This window comes from Homo sapiens, chromosome 15 (assembly GCF_000001405.40).
Source record: "Homo sapiens chromosome 15, GRCh38.p14 Primary Assembly".
NCBI lineage: Eukaryota > Metazoa > Chordata > Mammalia > Primates > Hominidae > Homo > Homo sapiens.
The window spans coordinates 29,763,554-29,783,758 of record NC_000015.10 but is presented as its reverse complement, the minus strand read 5'-3'; the positions used below and the strand labels follow the sequence as shown (position 1 = coordinate 29,783,758).

Genomic DNA, 20,205 nt, shown 5'->3' with positions numbered 1-20,205 from the left:
ATAATTTAGCTCCCGCTTATAAGTGAGAACATGCAGTGTTTGGTTTTCTGTTCCTGTGTTAGTTTGCTAAGGATGATGGCCTCCCATTCCACCCGTGTTCTTGCAAAGGACATGATCTTATTCTTTTTTATGGCTGCATAGTTATACTACATTTACTTCATCTAGTCTTTCGTTGATGGGCATTTAGGTTGATTCCACATTTTAGCTATTGCGAATAGTGCTGCAGTGAACATATACGTGCATGTGTCTTTATGATAGAATGATTTATATTCCTTTGGGTATATACCCAGTAATGGGATTGCTGGCTCGAATGGTAGTTTTCTTTTTAGCTCTGAGGAACTGCCATACTGCCTTCCCCAACGTGTATAAGCAGTCCCTTTTCCCTGTAGCCTTGCCAGCATCTGTTATTTTTTTTTGACTTTTTTTAATATTAGCCATTCTGACAGGTGTGAGATGATATCTTTGTGTTTTTGTTTGTTTCTTTGAGATGGAGTTTTGCTCTTTTTGCCCAGGCTGGAGTGCAGTGGCACAATCTTGGCTCACTGCAACCTCTGCCTCCCGGGTTCAAACGATTCTCCTGCCTCAGCCTCCTGAATAGCTGGGATTACAGGCATGCACCACCACGCCTGGCTAATTTTTGTACTTTTAGTAGAGATGGGGCTTCCCCATGTTAGTCAGGCTGGCCTCGAACTTCTGACCTCAGGTAATCCACCAGCCTCAGCCTCCCAAAGTGCTGGTATTACAGGAGTGAGCCACCACGCCCGGCCGCTCATTGTGGTTTCAGTTTGCATTTCTCTGATGATTACTGATGTTGAGCATTTTTTCATATGATTATTGGCAACGTGTTTTTTTTTTTTTTTTTTTGAAAAGTGTCTGTTCTTGTCCTTTGCCCACTTTCTAATGGGGGTTGTTTTTTTTCTTGTAAAATTGTGTATAGATGATGGATATTAGACCTTTGTCAGATGCATAGTTTGCAGATGTTTTCTCATATTCTGTAGGTTGTCTGTTTACTCTTTTGATGGTTTCTTTTGCTGTGCAGAAGCTCTTTAGTTTAATTAGATTCCATTTGTCAATTTTTGCTTTTGTTGCAGTTGCTTTTGGCATCTTTGTCATGCAATCTTTGCCAGTTCCTATGTCCAGAATGGTATTGCCTGAGTTGTCTTCCAGGGTTTTTATAGTTTTGGGTTTTACATTGATGTCTTTCATCCATTTTGAGTTGATTTCTATGTATGGTATAAGGAAGGGTTCCAGTTTCAATCTTCTGCATATGGCTAGCCAGTTATCCCAGCACCATTTATTGAATAAGGAATCCTTTCCCCATTGCTTGTTTTTGTCAGCTTTGTCGAAGATCAGATGGTCGTATGTGTGGCCTTATTTCTGGGCTCCCTGTTACGTTCCGTTGGTCTGTGTGTCTGTCTTTGTTACAGTACCATGCTGTTTGGTTACTGTAGCCCTGTAGTTTAGTTTGAAGCTGGGTAACCTAATGCCTCCAGCTTTGTTCTTTTTGCTTAGGATTGTCTTGGCTTTTTGAGCTCTTTTTTGGTTCCATATGAATTGCATTCCTGATTTGGCTCTTGGCTGTTGTTGGTTTATAAGAATGCTAGTGGTTTTTGTATATTGATTTTGTATCCTGAAACTCTGCTGAAGTTATTTTATCAGCTTAAGGAGCTTTTGCACTGAGACCATGAGGTTTTCTAGATACAGAATCATGTCATCTGCAAACAGGGTAGTTTAACTTTCTCTCTTCCTATTCGGATGCCCTTTATTTCTTTCTCTTACCTAATTGCTCTGGCCAGGACTTCCAGTACTGTGTTGAATAGGAGTGATGAGAGAGGGCATCCTTGTCTTGTGCTGGTTCTCAAGGAGAATGCTTCCAGCTTTTGCCCATTCAGTATGATGTTGGCTGTAGGTTTGTCATATACAGCTCTTACTATTTTGAGGTGTGTTCCTTCAATTTCAATGCCTAGTTTATTGAGAGTTCTTAAGATGAAGGGAGTTGAAGTTTATTGAAAGCCATTTCTGCATCTATTAAGATAATCACGTGGTTTTTGTCTTTAGTTCTGTTTATGTAATGAATCACATTTAATGATTTGCATATGTTGAACCAACCTTGCATCCCAGGGATAAAGCCTACTTGATTGTGGTGGATTAGCTTTTTAATATGCTGCTGGATTCAGCTTGCTAGTATTTTGTTGAGGATTTTTGCATCAATGTGTATCAAAGATAATTTGCCTGAAGTTTTGTTTTTTGTGTCTTTGCCAGGTTTTGGTCTCAGGATGATGCTGACCTCATAGAATGAGTTGGGGTATTGTTCCTCCTCTTCAGTTTTTGGGAATAGTTTCAGTAGAAATTGTTCCAGCTCTTGTTTGTACATGTAGAGCAGCTATTAATTCATTTGGTCCTGGGGTTTTTTTTAGTTGGTAGGCTATTTACTACTGATTCACTTTCGGCGTTTGTTACTGGTATGTTCAGAGATTCAGTTTCTCCTGGTTCAGTCTTGGGAGGGTGGGTTTGTCCAGGAATTTATCAGTTTCTTCTAGATTTTCTAGTTTGTGTGCATGGCTGTGTTCATAGTATTCTCTGATGGTTACTTGTATTCCTGTGGGGTCAGTGGTATCCCCTTTGTCCTAATTGTGTTTATTTGGATCTTCTCTCTTCTTTGTCTAGCTAATAGTTTATCTTACTGATTTTTTTTCAAAAATACAATTCCTGAATTCGTTGGTCTTTTGAATGGTGTTTCGTGCCTGGCTCCTTCAGTTCAGCTCTTTTTGTTATTTTTTGTCTTCTGCTAGCTCTGGAGTTGGTTTGCTCTTGTTCCTATAGTTCTTTTTGTTGTGATGTTAGGTTGTTAATGTATGTAATGTTGTTAATGTCGTATGTATTGTTGATTTAATGTTAGGATGTTAGGTTGATTTCTTTTTTACTTTTTCTCTTAAGATGTTTTTTGGTCTTATATTCCTATCTAAAATGACCTTTTAAAATTTCAGATTTGGTCTCGAATTCTTCCTCTTCATTTCTACATTTTTTCTAATTCTTTCATGTCTTGTATCTTCTTGTGCTAATAACAGTTTTAATCCTCTCCCTCTTTTAAGCCTTCTTTCAGGCATACTTTTATTGTCTGCAGAGATGTTATTCTGCTACTCAGTATCCATTATATAGTAACTTTATGTAGAGCGGAGGTCTCCATCCCCCAGGCCACAGAGATGTACGGATCTTTGGCCTGTTAGGAACTGAGCCACACAGCAGGAGGTGAGTGGCGGGCAAGTGAGCAAAGCTTCACCTGTATGTGCAGCCACCCCCCATTGCTCTCATTACTGCCTGAGCGCTGCCTCCTGTGGCGGCATCACATTCTCACAGGAGTGTGAACCCTGTTGTGAGCCATGCATGCAAGGGATCTAGGTTGCACACTCCTTATGAGAATCTAATGCCTGATGATCTGTCACTGTCTCCCATCACCCCCAGATGGGACCATCTAGTTGCAGGAAAACTAGCTCAGGGCTCCCACTGATTCTACAATATGGTGAGTTTTGTGATTATTTCATCATATATTACAGTGTAATCATAATAGAAATAAAGTACACAATAAATGTAATGTACTTGGATTGTCCCGAAACCATCCCCTCCACCTGCCGGTCTGTGGAAAAATTGTCTTCAAAGAAACCAATCCCTGGTGCCAAAGAGGTTGAGGACTGCTGGTATAGAGGGTTTGATTCTGATCGTTTTTTCTCATTTTTGCCTGTAATTTGTGGTGGTTTTTTTTTTTTTCCTTCGGGAGGTGGCGGGGAGGATTTTGTTTGTTTGTTTGTTTGTTTGTTTTAGAATATGGCTTCGTTCACATGCTAAGGAAGTCTCCATAGCTGGTTGTTTATCCCCTCCTCGTTGCATTTTGCACTTCAAGGGGGATACATTGACCCCCTAGTTTTGTTGTAAATGTTGCACTTGGATTCTTGGTTTGTTATGTAGTCGACTGCCTGTTTTTATTCAGGAAGATTCATTCATGCCTACTCTCATTGCTGCTAATTTTTCCAGAATTCTGTTTTTAGTGCTCTAATTAGGGCTAGTTTAAAAAAAGAGTCTCTATAAAGGGAAATAGAATTAAAGTTAAATTGAATAATCAATCAAATACTTGTTGAGGTTCACTAACTTCGTGAACCACTTTGTGTCAGGCTTCTGCAGGGTTGCATTGAGTTGAAAGATGTATACGAATATATTGAACTAGCAAGCCAGTCACTGCGATGACTTGTTTTGGCAAAGAGAAAAGATTTTACTCACAAGACTGCCAAATGAGGAGATGGGAGAACAAATCTCAAACCCACCTCTCCAAAGATGGGATTTTAAGGATGTTTTTGGAATAGAGTACCAAGGTTCTCCAAGGTGTGGGGGAGAAAGATTGGGGGTAAGGAAAAGTGAGTTAGTTAGGATCTGCATACATGTAGTCAAGTTACACAGCTCTTCATAGAATGCATGTTTGAAAAATGGCAGTATCACCATGATCTGAGGAAGGAGGTTTTGGCCCTCTGACATCAAACAGTCACCTCTCTTTGGGCATTCATGCAGGCCCAGTTGAAGGTTCGGTGGTCTTAATCAGCTTGAAGTGGACAAGAGCTGCCAACTGGTTCCTGGAAATAACTTTAAGCAACCGTTACTGTAGTGACCCACATTCGGAAGTTATCTGTAAGGAAGTTCGTGGGAGATTTGCTATGTGACTTGCTAGTGGGGAGTTTAAAATAGATCAACTAGAAGTAAGCGATGAAAAAGACAGGTTAAGTTTGGCGGGCTTAATCAGGTTAGCCTTCGATTTTAAATATGTGACTTCCTCCCAAATAGGGCCTTGCTAACCGAGGCTACTTGTGCTGTGTGTTAAGTAGCACAAGTGTGTACATGTGCCCCAGCACATGTACAGGATGGACCACTTCTGTGAAAGCCAAGGGTAGTTTTATGAATGAGGTGACATGGAACCTGGGTTTTGAAAGATGAGCTGAAGCTTGCAAGATTGATAAGGTAGTAAGGAAATCCTAGGGAGAGAGGAGATGTTAAGCCATAGTTTGATATTGCATGATCTCCCTAAGCAGGAATCAGTATTTAGGTGGGTTTAGAGCAAAGACTGGGGTGCTGGGAAGCAAGTTTGGAGTTGTATTCAAAGGCACTGCATGCTAAGGAATTTGGACTTGGGGCAAGGATCTATTGGATTAGGGTCTTTGTGTTAGAGGGACAGCACTGCCAACACTTGTAGTGCAGTGGAGGTGAGAAATCTGTTGAAAGGGCCAAATAAGACAATTATGAAGGTAGAGGGAAGGGAAAGTGGGGAAAAGTTGAACCTTTTGAAATTTTTAATGAACTGATCTTATATTCAGAAAACATTGAAAGCTGCAGCTCTCGTTCCTGGCTGCTCATTAGAATCACCTGGGGGCTATTTTTTTTTTTTTAAGTCCACCAACTCCTCTTCTCCATTTTTACTTAATTGGTATAGATTGAGGATCATGCATCAGCAAGCAGTTTTGAAATTGTTCCCAAGTGATTCTTACCTGCAGCCTGGGTAAGAAGTCGCAGGGCTCCTGGATAGTCATTAAGTGAACTGTGGTAAGCACTGATGTAGCAGGATTACCTGCCCTACTAGGTGCCGGAACTGCATTTACTTGCTCACAAGTAATTTTTTTAAATGTATGCTCGCATCCCTGCCTTGCTTATTGAAAGTTCCTAATGTTTTTGGTTTTTTTTAATCTTTTTATGTTTTTAACTTTTAAATAAAAGAGGAAAATAAAATAACTACCAAACAAGATGTAAGTTCATACTGTAAAATTACATAGAGTAATTTTTCAAATTACTAAATTACAAAGATTAGCCCCAACTTCTTTGAAGGAGAAAAAAAGGGAAAGGATAATCGTTTACTAAGGCTGGGGTGTTTAGGTGTTTTCCCAGCATTTTGCAATTACAAACAGTCTGCAATGAATAACCTTGTGCGTTTGTTACTTTTGTATTGTGAGAGAGGTATGTGTATCTTTAGGGTACTTTCTAGAAGTTAGTTTGCTCTGTCAAAAGAATAGTACATTTGTAGTTTTGTTAGGTTACTGCCAAATTCCTCTCCTGAAAGTTGTAGCAATTTGTGTGCCCATCAGTAGTAGACTGTTTGCTATAGCCTCCCTTTTCTGAAATATGTTATACTTTAATGTTTCTGTTCTTGGTGTTCTTTGGTTTTAATTTGCATTTATCTGTGGGTTTTAACATCTCATATATCTTTTGTAAATTGTTTCATTGTTTTATTTATTTATTTATTTTTCTCCCTTCATGTTTAAGTAGTTCTTAATATCGACATTTTCAAAGTATGGTCTGTGGACTCCTAAAGGTCCCTGAAACCTTTTTAGGTTCAAGGGCAAAACTCTTTTTATTCAATATGAAGGTATTTCTTATCTTCTTCGCTGTGTAATTATTTGACTGAAGGTTCAGAAACAATGGCGGTTAAAACTGTGGGCTTTGTAGCCCAAATCAAGGCAGGGGCACCAAACCGTATAATAGTCATTGTCACACACTCGTAGATTAAAAGAACAATTTCAGTTTTATTTAAGAATGACTTGAAACAGTAAGAACTGTGTCTTGTTACTTTCCAACCCTTGAATACACACGTTTTCAGTAGTCTAGGTATGCAAACAGGAAGTGTGCCTAAAGTACTTCTGCCTTGTACTAAAGTACTTGTGTGATTATTTGAATTGCAGCCGTGTATTGAGTGGGGGGGGTGGAAGGCAGGCATCACTTTTACTTGAACAATTGTTTACTTGAAGGAATGTATGGTTATCCAAACTTGAATATTTGACAAACATATTTCTCCAAAATGAATGAGTACCTTGCTTCAAGGAGAACAATTCTTGATAGTATTTGTTGCTAACAATGAAAACTGATTTTTAAAACAAAATTTAAAATTTGAGAAATTTTTATCTGCCACCATAAGCTCAGTAGCTTTTCAGTACTTAAAGACTCTTTTGATAACCTTGATAGTGATATTAACACATGATTTTAAAATACACTGTGTGGTGAAATGTGGCATCATTTGGAAGATTTACCTAACTCAGGGAACCAGTATTTTCCGAAAGACTAAGGCATGCTATAGTAAAATTATACATGGATAAAATACTCATTCAGAGTGTAAAATAGGCCAATAGATAATTCATGCAACAGTACAGACAGTTGAATGATATGGTTTCAAACTGTACATTGTTACTCTCCTTTAGGAAACTATCATTTATTAAGTTTTTGGCATAAAGTCAAACATGAATTTTCGTAATTACCTAAAAAGGCTACTAAAATAACTCTTCTTTTTCAATGACTGTATCTGTGTATGAAAAGCTGGATTTTCTTTGTGTACTTTAACAAAAAGCAACATACTTACAGGGTTTGTTACAGTGCCTTTTCACAAACTTTGTTTTCTCTTCAGCGGTGAAAGTCAAATTTTGTCAAAGGCTTTTTCAGGATCTTGGAGATAATCATATAATTTTTTTCTCTAGATTTATTAATAGGATATATTATGCCAGTGGATTTCCTACTAATCCTGCATTCCTGGAATTAATCCCTTTTTCATGGAGTATTTATGTAGTGTTGGCCTTTGTTTGCTTATTTTTATTTTGTATTTTGCACTGATACAAATAAATTATGTTGAGCTGTAATATTGGGGGGTTAGTCATTATCATGGACAGTCATCAGCTTTCAGTGTCAGTATTATACTTGCTTCATAAAAAGAATTTAGAAGCTTTCCTTGATATCAGTGTTCTGAAACAATATATTGTACTGAGGCTGTCTGGATATTGCATGTTTTGGCACAATTTCTCTGGGAAATCATTTGCGCCTGGTGCCTTTTTGTGGGATAATTCCCTCATAAATTTTGCTGCTTTTTTCTCCAGAAATTGGGCCGTTTAAGCCTTTTATTTATAATAGGGTCAATTTTGGCCATCTATATTTCCTCAGGAATTATGTTTCCTTTAGGTTTTCAAATTTATTTGAATTTGTTCTGTAGTGTCTTATGTTTTCTAATGCTGTTCTAATAGTCATTTGTCTCTAATTGTTTATTTTTGAAGTTTTAGTCCTGCTTTTAATTTGAAATTTGGATATTGTCTTTGAATTATGATGAGTGTATGGTTTTGTGTACAGTAGTCCCCTCTGAGCCATGGGGTGTATGTTCCCCCAGTGGATGCCTGAATTCTTGGATAGTATCAAACCCAGTTTTGCTGTTAATTGGAGCACATTTCTGTGCCTGTCTTCCACTCACAAGTTTAATGCCTTTTCCATCTTAAATAAGCACTTACCATGCACTGTGGCGAAACCCTTGCAATTTTAGGTGTGACAGCAAAACCAGCACAAATTTTGTTTTCCTTCACAATTTCACTAATAGAAGATTCCTTCTCCCTGTAGATCTTAGTAACCTCAGCATATTTTTTTTTTTTTTTCTGTATTAAATGGAGGACTTTCGCCTTCTCTCTTGAAGGAAACACTACAGATTTTCTTTGGTATACCGAATTGCCAGCATCACTACTACTGTACTTTGGGGTCATGATTAAGTAAAATAAGGGTGACTTGAACACAAGCATTGTGTTACCTCTCCACAGTTGATCTCATAACTGACAGCTACTGAGTAACTAATGGGTGGGGAGCCCCTATGGCGTGGAGACACTGGACAAAGGGATGATTCACATCTTAGATGGGACGTAGCAGGATGGCAAAATATTTCATCACACTGCTCATAACGGTGTGCAATTTAAGTCTTACCAATTGTTTATTTCTGAAGTTTTCCGTTTAAAATTTTCACACTGCAGTTGACCTGAAGTAACTGAAAGCAAAGAACATGAAACCGAGGATAAGGGAGAACCACTGTAGTTGGTCTATTTTTGTTCTATTAAATTTTGGGAGAATATATAGAGAAACAGATTCAGATGGTTGCCATTATCTTCAGTTACTCAGAAATTTCCCTGTTTTATTATTTTCTTTTTTCATATTAACTTTTTTGTGTTCGCTTTATTGCCATATAATTCACATGCCAAACAATTAAAGTATGCAGTTCATTGGTTTTTAGCGTGTTCCGAGTTGTGTGACCATCACCAGAGTCCATTTTAAAACATTTTCATTACTGGGGAAAAAAAAAACACCTCCCATTGAATTATCACCCCCTCCAATCCCTGTAGCCCTAGACAACCACCATTCAGGTTTTTGTCTTTATAGATTTGCCTTTCTGAGCATTTTATATAAACGGAATAATAGAATCTATTAACCTTTGTGACTGGTTTCTTCACCTTAGCATGATGTTTTCAAGGTTGATTCATGTTATACTATGTATGAGTACTTCATTCCTTTTTACACACAATGTTTCATTGTATGGATATATATCACGTTTTATCCATTCATCAGTTGATGGACACTTGGAATAGTTGGTATTTATTCATTTTTAAGAAGATTTTTTTTTTTCTTTTGCTACTTCTATAGGCTTTGGGATGGGAGGAAAGGTGATGTATGCACTATTCATGGTGAAAATAGTCTCCTCTGTTGCGGACTGGAAAGCTGAGGGAGGAAGTTGTTACCTTTGTCCTCAGGCAGTTTGAATTGTACAGTTTTATACAAAAACATACATTTCTGGCTTAATGATTCTGTAGCCTTAAGAAAATGTATATTGTCTCTTTAAACTACTCTTAAGTACTTCATATCCTTTCTAGGGAATAGTGATTTCTTTGAGATTAGGTAATTTTTTAACAACCTGGAAAATATTTTGAATTTTTTCTATACCGGCCTGTCCTGAGTCATTGTGGTAAAGATTCTTGGCTCTTTCAGAAGTGTGTAGCTTATTATAATTTAGTTTTTTAAAAAGGTAATTTTACAATGTTAGTTCAATATGGCTAATGTACACCTTCTATTGTATAGTGTGCACAAGGCATTATATTCTACAGAGATTTTTAGGAGTTGGCAGAAGTTGTTGAAAGAAGTTGAAATAACTAATACTTGATTTTCAAAGCAATTGATATTTATGTAAAATGACAAAGGGTGTGTATGCTGGATAAGTCTGTCATCTTCTAAATCAGTTGCCAGGATGGCTGATGATCACACTGGGCTCTGCCAGTCTCCTCAGGACCTCTTCTGATCAAAAATAAAGTCAGGATCTCAGTGTTAATAATTTTTAATTGTCTTTTGGTTTTTAAAGAACATGTATATAGTTGGCGATTTTTAATATTCTGTTATGTCCAGTAGTTATTAGAGCATGCATTCTTGTACAAGGATAATTCTAATAGGTAACCATGCAGGTGAGTGTTTATGGATCACAGATATATTAAGATTGTAATTTTTATATTTTGGCTTCTCTAGATTGTAGAGTATGATATAACAATTATTTTTGTCCTTAATAGCAATATTTTACTGTAATTTTTACTTTAGGCTCCTGGATTTGGATTTGGAATTGCAATATCTGGTGGACGAGATAATCCTCATTTTCAGAGTGGGGAAACGTCAATAGTGATTTCAGATGTGCTGAAAGGAGGACCAGCTGAAGGACAGCTACAGTAAGAGTGCTGCTTATCGTGGGCACTGTGCAACAAGCAGTGTTCCTCTCCTCAGGCACTGGCGTACTGTCTTACACTGTCTTAGTGATTTTGTCATATTCACACTCCACCTGTGCCATGCTTCATATATTTTTCCTTAAATTAACATATATTAAGAGGGAAACTGGCTAGGTGTGGTGGCTCACTCCTGTAATCCTAGCACTTTGGGAGGCTGAGGCAGGGGGATCACTTGAGACCAGGAGTTTGAGACCAGCCTGGGCAATGCAGTGAGATCCCCATCTCTACAAAAGAAGTTTAAAAATCAGCTGGGCATGGTGGCTTGTGCCTGCAGTCCCAGCTACTTGGGAGGCTGAGGCAGGAGAATCCCTTGAACTTAAGAATCTGAGGCTGCAATGAGCCATGATTGCACCACTGTACTCCAGCCCAAGTGACAGAGCGAGACCCTGTCTCCAAAGAAAATAAAGGAAGCTTTATCCCTATGAAAATTGGAAAGCTAGTATCACTCACTTTAAATAGAATGTGTAACTGTAAAAATAGTGAAAAAGAAAATGTATAACTCCTTTTGGGTAGAATCTAGCCTTCAGAAGCCTCCTCCCCAAGTCTTGCCACCCTTTTTATTCCCTATGAAGATTAGTAAGATAAAGAGAAACACAAAATACACTAGCAAAATAGTGGCACTATAATTAGAAGAATTAAAAGAGAATTAAAAGATGAAAAACTTAAAAGGGAGTAAGTTTTCCAGCTGTATGACTTAGTATCATTTAATGCCCTGTAACTGTACTACCAAGAATCATTTCGTGTATGTGATATCTGTTCAGTCTTTTGGGGAAATACTTTGTTAATGACTTAAAAAAATTAAGGACCTGTGGTTAGTTACTTGTTAAACATTCTGCAGAGAAATCTGAAAGTAAGTCAGTTGACATTATTTTATCATTGATCTGAAGAGAAATTAATTAATTGGCTCATAATTAGATTACATTTTAGAAGTACCTATCTTGGAAATATCATCATAAACTTACCAGAATGTTTTTCTCTAACATATTATTTTGTGCCCTTTTCCCCTTAGGGAAAATGACCGAGTTGCAATGGTTAACGGAGTTTCAATGGATAATGTTGAACATGCTTTTGCTGTTCAGCAACTAAGGAAAAGTGGGAAAAATGCAAAAATTGTAAGTATCTTTTCTCTGTAATTTAGTAAAGGTACCCCAACTTTATTGTTGATACATTTCTGGTATTTGAATTTATCCTTCCCATTTAAGGAAAACTGAAACAATAGTTCCAAAGTTATTTGTTTACACTTGAGTGTTTCTTCTAACACTGGTGTGGTATGTCACTGGTACGTGTATTTTCTCAGTTTAGATACCAGGATTTTTTTCAATTGAAAAAGGAAAGGGGACAGTTAAATAGTTACCTTTTTTTTTTTTTTTTGAGACGGAGTCTCGCTCTGTCGCCCAAGCTGGAGTGCAGTGGTACGGTCTCGGCTCACTGCAAACTCCGCCTCCTAGGTTCACACCATTCTCCTGCCTCAGCCTCCTGAGTAGCTGGGACTACAGGCGCTTGACACCACGCCCGGCTAATTATTTGTATTTTTAGTAGAGACAGGGTTTCACCGTGTTAGCCAGGATGGTCTCGATCTCCTGACCTCGTGATCTGCCTGCCTCGGCCTCCCAAAGTGCTGGGATTACAAGCATGAGCCACCACGCCCGGCCAAATAGTTACCTCTTTTTGGCTTAATGTTTCCTCCTCTTTTCCTCCTCTACAGTCACATGCTACATGACAATGTTTTGGTCAACAACAGACCACATATCTGACAGTGGTTCCATAAGATTATAGTACTGTATTTACCTTTACCGTGTTTAGATACACACATAGTTACCATTGTGTTACAGTCGCTTACAGTATTCAGTTCACTAACATGCTGTACAGGCTTGTAACCGAGGAGCAATAGGCTATGCCAAGTAGCCTAGATGTGTAGTAGGCTATACCATCTGGGTTTGGGAAGATAACGTTCTGTGATGTTCACACAAAGACAGAATTGCCTGATAATTCACTTCTCATAATAGATATATTATGTTACTGTTCTGGATACTGTAGGCAGCTGTAAAACAATGGTAAGTATGTGTATGTCTAAACATGGAAAAAGTACAGTAAAAATATATAGTGGATAAAAAAATTATATGCCTGTTTAGTGCACTTACTATGAATGGAGCTTGCAGGACTGGAAGTTGCTCTGAGTGAGTCAGCGAGTGAGTGGTGAGTGAATGTGACATCTTAGGACATTACTGTACACTACTGTAGACTTTGTAAACACTGTACATTTAGGCTGCACTAAATTTTTAACGTTTTAATATTTTTAATGTATTTAATATTTTATAAATTTATAAAATTTATTTAAGTCTTCTTTCTTCAATAATAAACCTTAGCTTACTGAAACTTTTTTAACCTATAAACTTTCTAACTTTTTGACTCTCGTAATAACAAACACGTTGTACAGCTGTACAAAAATATTTAAAATTTTTTGGGTTCTTTTTGGTTTTTTTCTTTTTTTTTTTTGAGACAGAGTCTCACTCTGTCACCCAGGCTGGAGTGCAGTGGCGCGATCTTGGCTCACTGCAAGCTCAGCGTCCCGAGTAGCTGGGACTACAGGCACCCGCCACCAGAGCTAATTTTTTTGTATTTTTAGTGGAGACAGGGTTTCACCATGTTAGCCAGGATGGTGTCGATCTCCTGATGGAGGCTGTCTCGTGATCCGCCCCGCCTCGGCCTCCCAAAGTGCTTGGATTACAGGCTGTGTTTTTTTAAGACACGGTTTCGCTCTGTCACCCAGGCTAGAGTGCAGTAGCGTGATCTTGGCTCACCGCAACCTCCGCCTCCCTGGTCCAGGTGATTCTCGTGCTTCAGCCTTGGGATTACAGGCGACCGCTACCAAGCCCGTATTTTGTATTTTTAGTAGAGATGGGGTTTTGCCATGTTAGCCAGGCTGGTATTGAACTCCGGGCCTCAAGTGATCTGCCTGCCTCCGCCTCCCAAAGTTCTGGGATTACAGGTAGGAGGCACTGCACCTAGCCTAAAATTTTTTATTTTTCACTTTTTAAACTTTTTTAGTAAAAACTAAGACACAAGCACACACATTAGCCTAGGGCTACCCAGGATCAGGGTCATCAGTGTCACTGTCTTCCACCTCCACAGTTTGTCCTAGTGGGAGGTCTTCAGGGGCAGTAACACGCATGGAGCCATCATCTCCTGTGACAATAATGCCTTCTTGTGGAACACCTCCTGAAGGACCTACCTGAGGCTGTTTTCTCAGTTAACATGTAGAAAAAAAAATAAGTAGAGGGAGTACACTCTGCAGTAATGATAAAAAGTTTAGCATAGTAAATACATAAACCAGTAACATAGTCATTATCAAGTATTATATTCTGTACATATTGTATCTGCTACACTTCTATTCCACTGGCAGCATAGTAGCTTTGTTTACACCAGCATCACCACCAACATAAGTACTGCAGTGCACCCACGACATTATGACCCTGTGGCGTCCCTAGGTGATAGGAGATTTTCAGCTCCATTGTGATATTATGGGGCCCCTGCAGTACGTGCTGTCCGTTGTTTTACATGGTGCATGACTGTGTAGGTATCCACATGGCCATGCAGCATTTCACTATGCATATATATTTATCCAACCCACTCATTCACAGGCATTTCAGTGTCCAGTCCGCAAGTATTTTTTTAAAATTCAGCTGCAAAAATCATCATATTACTACCTACTTGTTTAGTTAATGTTTAGAATAATTTTCTAGGAGTGACTTTTCAGAGTCAAAGGGCCTGAATGACTTTTGATGTATGTATTGCCAGTTTGTCCTTCAGAAAATCAATAGGCTATTGAGAGTTCAGTTTTCAACAGGTCTTAAATCTTTGCCAAACTGATAAACTAAACAAGTGTTTCAAATGAAACATTTTAAATCACAAGTGGATTTGATCCTCTCATGGTGTATTTACTACCCATTTGTTTTTTCATTTACCTGTTCATGTCCTTTGCATTTATATGGTGGTGATGGTCATACTAGAGTGTTTTCTGTAGTCAGATTATTAGCCTTTTGTCATACATACCTCATGTGTTGTTATCCTCTTTGCTTTTGTGAATGCTTGTAAGTTGTTTGTGTTTGTTGTTTTGTATCATTTTATTACAACATTGAAATGTTTTCATTTTTATTTTGTCATGTCTGTCAGACTTTCATTTTATTGGTTCTGCCTTGGTGTCATGCTTCCAAAAGCCTTTTAATTGCAAAAGCCTCTCTGTTGTATTTTTTTCTAGTACTTACATGGCATCATTTTGTTTTATTTTACCTTTGAGACTTAGTTAAGCTAAACTATTTTGAAGTAGGCATTTTTTTTCCTAAATATTTTGATTCCAAATTTTTCATAGTGTTAAAATCGAGCATAGTTGTCACACCTACTAATTATTATTCATGTTTATAACTGTTGATTCATAAGTAGAGAATCACAATAGGACTGGTTACCTTTCAATAAGTTAAGCACCTACTAGATGCAAGCATTGCATTATATGTACAGTTAAATGCATGGTAAGGAACTTCTCAAAAAACTCAAATCTTAGTGGGCTGGATAGGTATACATACTGATAACCATATAATGCACGTCATCTCAGGTTGATAGGTCAGGTACAGTAGGATCCCAAAGAGGTGGCGCACTCTTACAGGAATGATAGGGAAAGCCTTGAGTGCTCATCTGCTCAACTTTGTTTTTGTTTATTACTAGGGAGGAACTGAAGATTAAAATACTAATACCAGGTATTGCTTCCAATATAATATGTTGGAAATTAAATAGAAGTGAGATGTAAAAGCAGGCAGCTAGCATTAGGAATGCTTTACAGAAAATATTACCCTATAAGGACTTCAGCTGTGGGTTGCTCCAATAGGAGAAGGGCAGCCTTTCTCTTTCAGTTCATAACAGGGCATTGGCTGTCCTCCTTTTCACATGCTGGCCTCTGCTGTTTCTCATCCTTGAGCTTCAGCGTTGTTTCCTCAGAATGGCCCTCTGCTCAGGCCCTCATCCTGATCCTGAACCAGTATCTGATAATAATAGTAGTAGTCATAGGAAGCAGTAGTATTAAGTGTAGAGCAGCCCTTTGAAGAAGTTTAGGCACATAGAGAAGAGAGAAAAGATGATAACATGCAGGTGAATAGCAAGACAGAGAAATAGAAGATTAATTGGGGGAGCTTAGTAGGTAGAGGACAGATTTTAGGTAAATAAAGAGATTGAAGTTTCAGGTAACCTGGAGTATGGTAATTGATGAAGAAAAAAGTCTTAGAGGTAGGTAGGGATGAGAATGAGAGCTCAAATACAAGGGTTTTGTTCATCCAGGGAGAAGATTGCCTTGGTCTTTGAGACCAGAAGGAAAGAGGACCAAATAAATGAGACACTGAAAAAATTTAGGAGGGGAAATACTGAAAAAATTTAGGAGGGGAGGGGGAGTAAAATGGCACTGATCTTAAAGCAGGCTGAGTGGCTGGGATCTTGAAGAATGGTTGTAGAATACCTACATTAGCGAATTCCACAGAGAGGCAACAATATGTAGATGAAAGGATTGCTGAACAAGAGCAAGACTTCTGTAAAATGAATTTACAGAGGGCCTCATCAGCAAAGTGTGGAAGTGAAGGTAATAATAGGACTGGAGTTTGTCAGGGCAGATGATTGAGGGGTCAAGAAAAAGTCATTTAAATATGGCAACAGGATGTCTCATGCAAACTTAGGGGGAATGCGAGTGAAACCAGGATGGAACTGATGAACTAAGATGAAGGAATTGGAAATAAGATAGTGAAAAGTTTCAGTAGCTCAAGGTGTCCGACATAGAAGACAAGGAGTGATACACAAGGAGATCCTGTAGAACTACAGTGAGGTCAAGTGTATACTATTGTGAGAAGGCAAAGTGTAGTCCACAGATTACAGGGCCATTCAGTCAGCAGGTGTAATACATGTAGATCGTCAGCTTGCAGAGAATGAAGGAAATAAGTGGACAGGCAATACAGAGCCAGTTACCAGAATCATTGAGAAAAGAACGCCAGAGGGAAGAATTTGCACCTAGACTGGGAGTACAAATTGAAGAGATCCAGAGACTGAAAGCAGTTTGTGTTGGTGAAGTACGGCTGAGTTAATTAGCTCCAACATATTATTGAATGTTAGTGCGGCTATAGAATAAATTATCTCTTAGAGGTCTGGGGCAATTGTGGGCTTTGATATTGATGCATTCTAAAATTTTTAAGGAAGCAAGTTGGGCATGGAAGTTTGCTGTGGTTTTGGTAGCACCTAGAGTATATTTGATGGCATTAGAGTACAGTGCTGTCCTTTTTATTCAAACCACCAACAGTTGTTAGTTTCCCTGTAAGCTTGTGATTATTACACCAGGAAGATCTTTCTGTGTGAAGTAAATAAAGAGGTTTTTAGGCCCACTCGTTCTTATTTGTGCTTAACCAGATCTGTTTATCAGGAGAACAGAAAACACAGCCTTTATGGAAATGTATTCCTTAGAAATTTGTTGTAGTTGTTTGTGTATTGTTTCTTGCTGGTTCATAGTTAATATGGGATGAGAAGTGTAATATTCCTTTCTCTTTGGAACTGAACGTACATATATGAAAATCAGTCAACTTATTTTTTAACCTTTTTAACTTGCAGACAATTAGAAGGAAGAAGAAAGTTCAAATACCAGTAAGTCGTCCTGATCCTGAACCAGTATCTGATAATGAAGAAGATAGTTATGATGAGGAAATACATGATCCAAGAAGTGGCCGGAGTGGTGTGGTTAACAGAAGGAGTGAGAAGATTTGGCCGAGGGATAGAAGTGCAAGTAGAGAGAGGAGCTTGTCCCCGCGGTCAGACAGGCGGTCAGTGGCTTCCAGCCAGCCTGCTAAACCTACTAAAGTCACACTGGTGAAATCCCGGAAAAATGAAGGTATTCTCTGCCAACTCTTGCTGTTTTTTTCACATGAAAATTTAAAACTAATTTTAATGAGAAGTACAGTTGCTGTCTCTTCATGTCTTTGCTTTGTTGTCTTTGTGTTTGTGTTCTATCACTGTAAGTCAAATCCTGTTATGGCAGGCTTCAGGGACTGTTCATTTTTTCCGTTGGAACAGATAACACTTCAAGTGAATTGTCCAGGGCTTGGCTTTTGGATTTGTTGTGATGAGAATAGCCAGGTACAAATTATGCTAACAAGAAATGTCACACCATCACCAAATGGAAATTCAGTGTTTTTCTTAACTGTTAGTAGTGTAATCATGGAGAGAAATCTTGGGAGTGTTGTTGTTGTTGTTGTTTTTGTTGTTGTTACAAGGTCTGGCTCTGTCACCCAGGCTGGAGTGCAGTGGCACAATCTCAGCTCCCTGCAACCTCTGCTTCCCAGGCTCAAGCAGTCCTCCCACTTCAGCCTCCCTGGTAGCTGGAAGTACAAGTACATGCCACCATGTCCAGCTAATTTTTTTATTTTGGGTAGAGACAGGGTTTTTGCCGTGTTGCCCAAGCTGTTCTCAAATTGGTAAGCTCAGGCAATTCACCTGCCTCGGCCTCCCACAGTGCTGGGATTATAGGCGGGAAGCCACTGTGCCCTGCTGGGACTTCTTCCCCCTCACTCCAGACTGTTTTTTTTAAATGGAGGAATTTAAGGAAAGGAACCCCTTATAGAGCATTTCTCCATAATGCAGTACTTCTTTGAAGTTTTTGAAACTGAAACTCAGCTGCTTTCCCTCATGCCTCATTAAATTTGATAAAAAATGGATCTGACTGTGGCTTGCTCCTTCTGTGGGCATGCATGACTGATCATTTTGATATAAAGGGTGTTACAGTTGGAATATTATCAAGACTTACTTTGATCTGCTTTACCACTTGGCATATCTCCTAGGTGGTATTCCATACCCCCATTCAGTGAAGTCTCAGTGAAGTTGTCAACATTTGCTGTTTTTACTTCACTACTTACCCCTCAATCCTCTCTGGTCTGGTATCTTTTCCGCTCTGCCCCCAAAAATGTTCACACTAAATCTAGTGGAAGTTTTTCAGTCTCTAGCTTGCTTGCCTTTTCAGTATCATTTCACATGGTTAACCACTCCTTATTTTCAAAAATAATGTCTTCTTTGGTAGTACTGTATCTTTCTGTTTTTTTCCCCCACCTTTCTGTATCTTTTGCAAGCTCATTCTCCTCACCCTGCCCTTTATAACGTTCTGTCAGTTTCTCTCCTAGAATCTTTTTTTCCACTTAAGGTAACTTTTTTTTTCTTTTCCTCAGGTTGAATAACAATTAATTTAGGCAATCTCATCTGCTCCCCTGCTTCCAGTCACTGCTGATGATGGCAGAACCTCTTTCTCCAGCCCAAATCTTTACACTCTTGTGTTCCAACTGTTAGGCATATTCACTTAGATGTTCCTGTAGGTCCCTGAAACACAGCACATCTCAAATGAAACTCATCTCCCTCTTAAAATTTTTCTTTGTATTTCTCATGAAGTATTCAGTTGAATGTGTTTCTATTGATCCAGTTTCTCAGGCCATTCCCAGATGACATGGTAGTTACCCTTGCCTTCTCTTTTTTTCCCATGCATGATGAATGTCCTCACTCCTGAATACCACTCTTATCCATCCCACTCTTTCTCCACTGCCTCCACCCTTTTCCAAGCCACTGTCATCTCTTACATAGACTCATTTGGTCTCATAGGTTGTCTCTTGGATCCCTTTAAGTTGATTCTGCAGATTTCTTCATAGATCCTCTGTGACACTTCTGTCTTACTCTTTTGCCCCTTTCTTTATTAGTTCTCAGTCTCAGCTACACTAGACTTATGACTTCATTAGGTCCACCAGGTTTTTTTCTTCATTACTTTGATGCATTTGTTTTGAACTTTTCAGCCGTCACTCACCCCATGCATCCCCTCCCCCACAAACATACCCTTCAGGTTTAGGTCTTTCTTAGGTAAAGTTTTAACTTTAGTATATCTTCCTCAGGGCGGCCTTCTCCTTCCCCCTAGTAAGTGAAGAACCCTTGTGTTTCTGCCCTCTGAACTCACCGCATTTGGGATTACCATGCTAACATCCTTTTTTTCACTGACTGCAAATTGCCAGAGTGCAGGAACTATCTCATTTGCTGCTTTCTCCCTAATGCCTGGTACCTAGTTCATATATACCCCAAGAAATATTTAGAATGAACGAACAAACTAATATACAAGAAATATTTTGGGGTCATCTGTGTAATGGTCATTTATAAGTGTTTAATCTTGAAGAACAGTCTTTTAACCAATACCCTATCCTTCTGTGATGTAATGACCATATGGATGACTGCCTCATTCCTTGCCCAGATATCCTAAAAGGCCGTTTTCTTCACCCTGATTCTATTTCTGGCTGTGAGTACTCTTTGTATATTTGTCTTAAGTTAAACTGTAATTCTGATGTAATTTTTTTTTTTTTTTTTGAGACGGAGTCTCACTCTCTCTCTCAGGCTTGGAGTGCAGTGGCACAATCTCAGTTCACTGCAACCTCTGCCTCCCAGGTTCAAGCAGTTCTCCTCCCTCAGCCTCCCAAGTAGCTGGGATTATAGGTGTGCACCACCATGCCCAGCTAATTTTTTGTATTTTTAATAGAGACGGTTTTACCATGCTAGCCAGGCTGGTCTCGAACTCCTGACC

The 20,205-nt window shown here is 38.8% G+C and overlaps 1 protein-coding gene across 30 annotated transcripts in view; it reads left to right on the top strand.

Moving 5' to 3' along the window:
* The window catches only part of TJP1 (tight junction protein 1), a 269,683-nt gene that overhangs the window by 185,291 nt on the left and 64,187 nt on the right, over nucleotides 1–20,205 (top strand). For all 30 annotated transcript variants that reach the window (XM_005254620.4, XM_047432984.1, XM_005254619.4 and 27 more), the window contains 3 exons: nucleotides 10,402–10,526; nucleotides 11,593–11,695; nucleotides 17,217–17,493. In XM_005254620.4, the coding sequence (XP_005254677.2) occupies nucleotides 10,402–10,526; nucleotides 11,593–11,695; nucleotides 17,217–17,493 (505 nt within the window). The remainder of the gene's footprint in view (nucleotides 1–10,401; nucleotides 10,527–11,592; nucleotides 11,696–17,216; nucleotides 17,494–20,205) is intronic.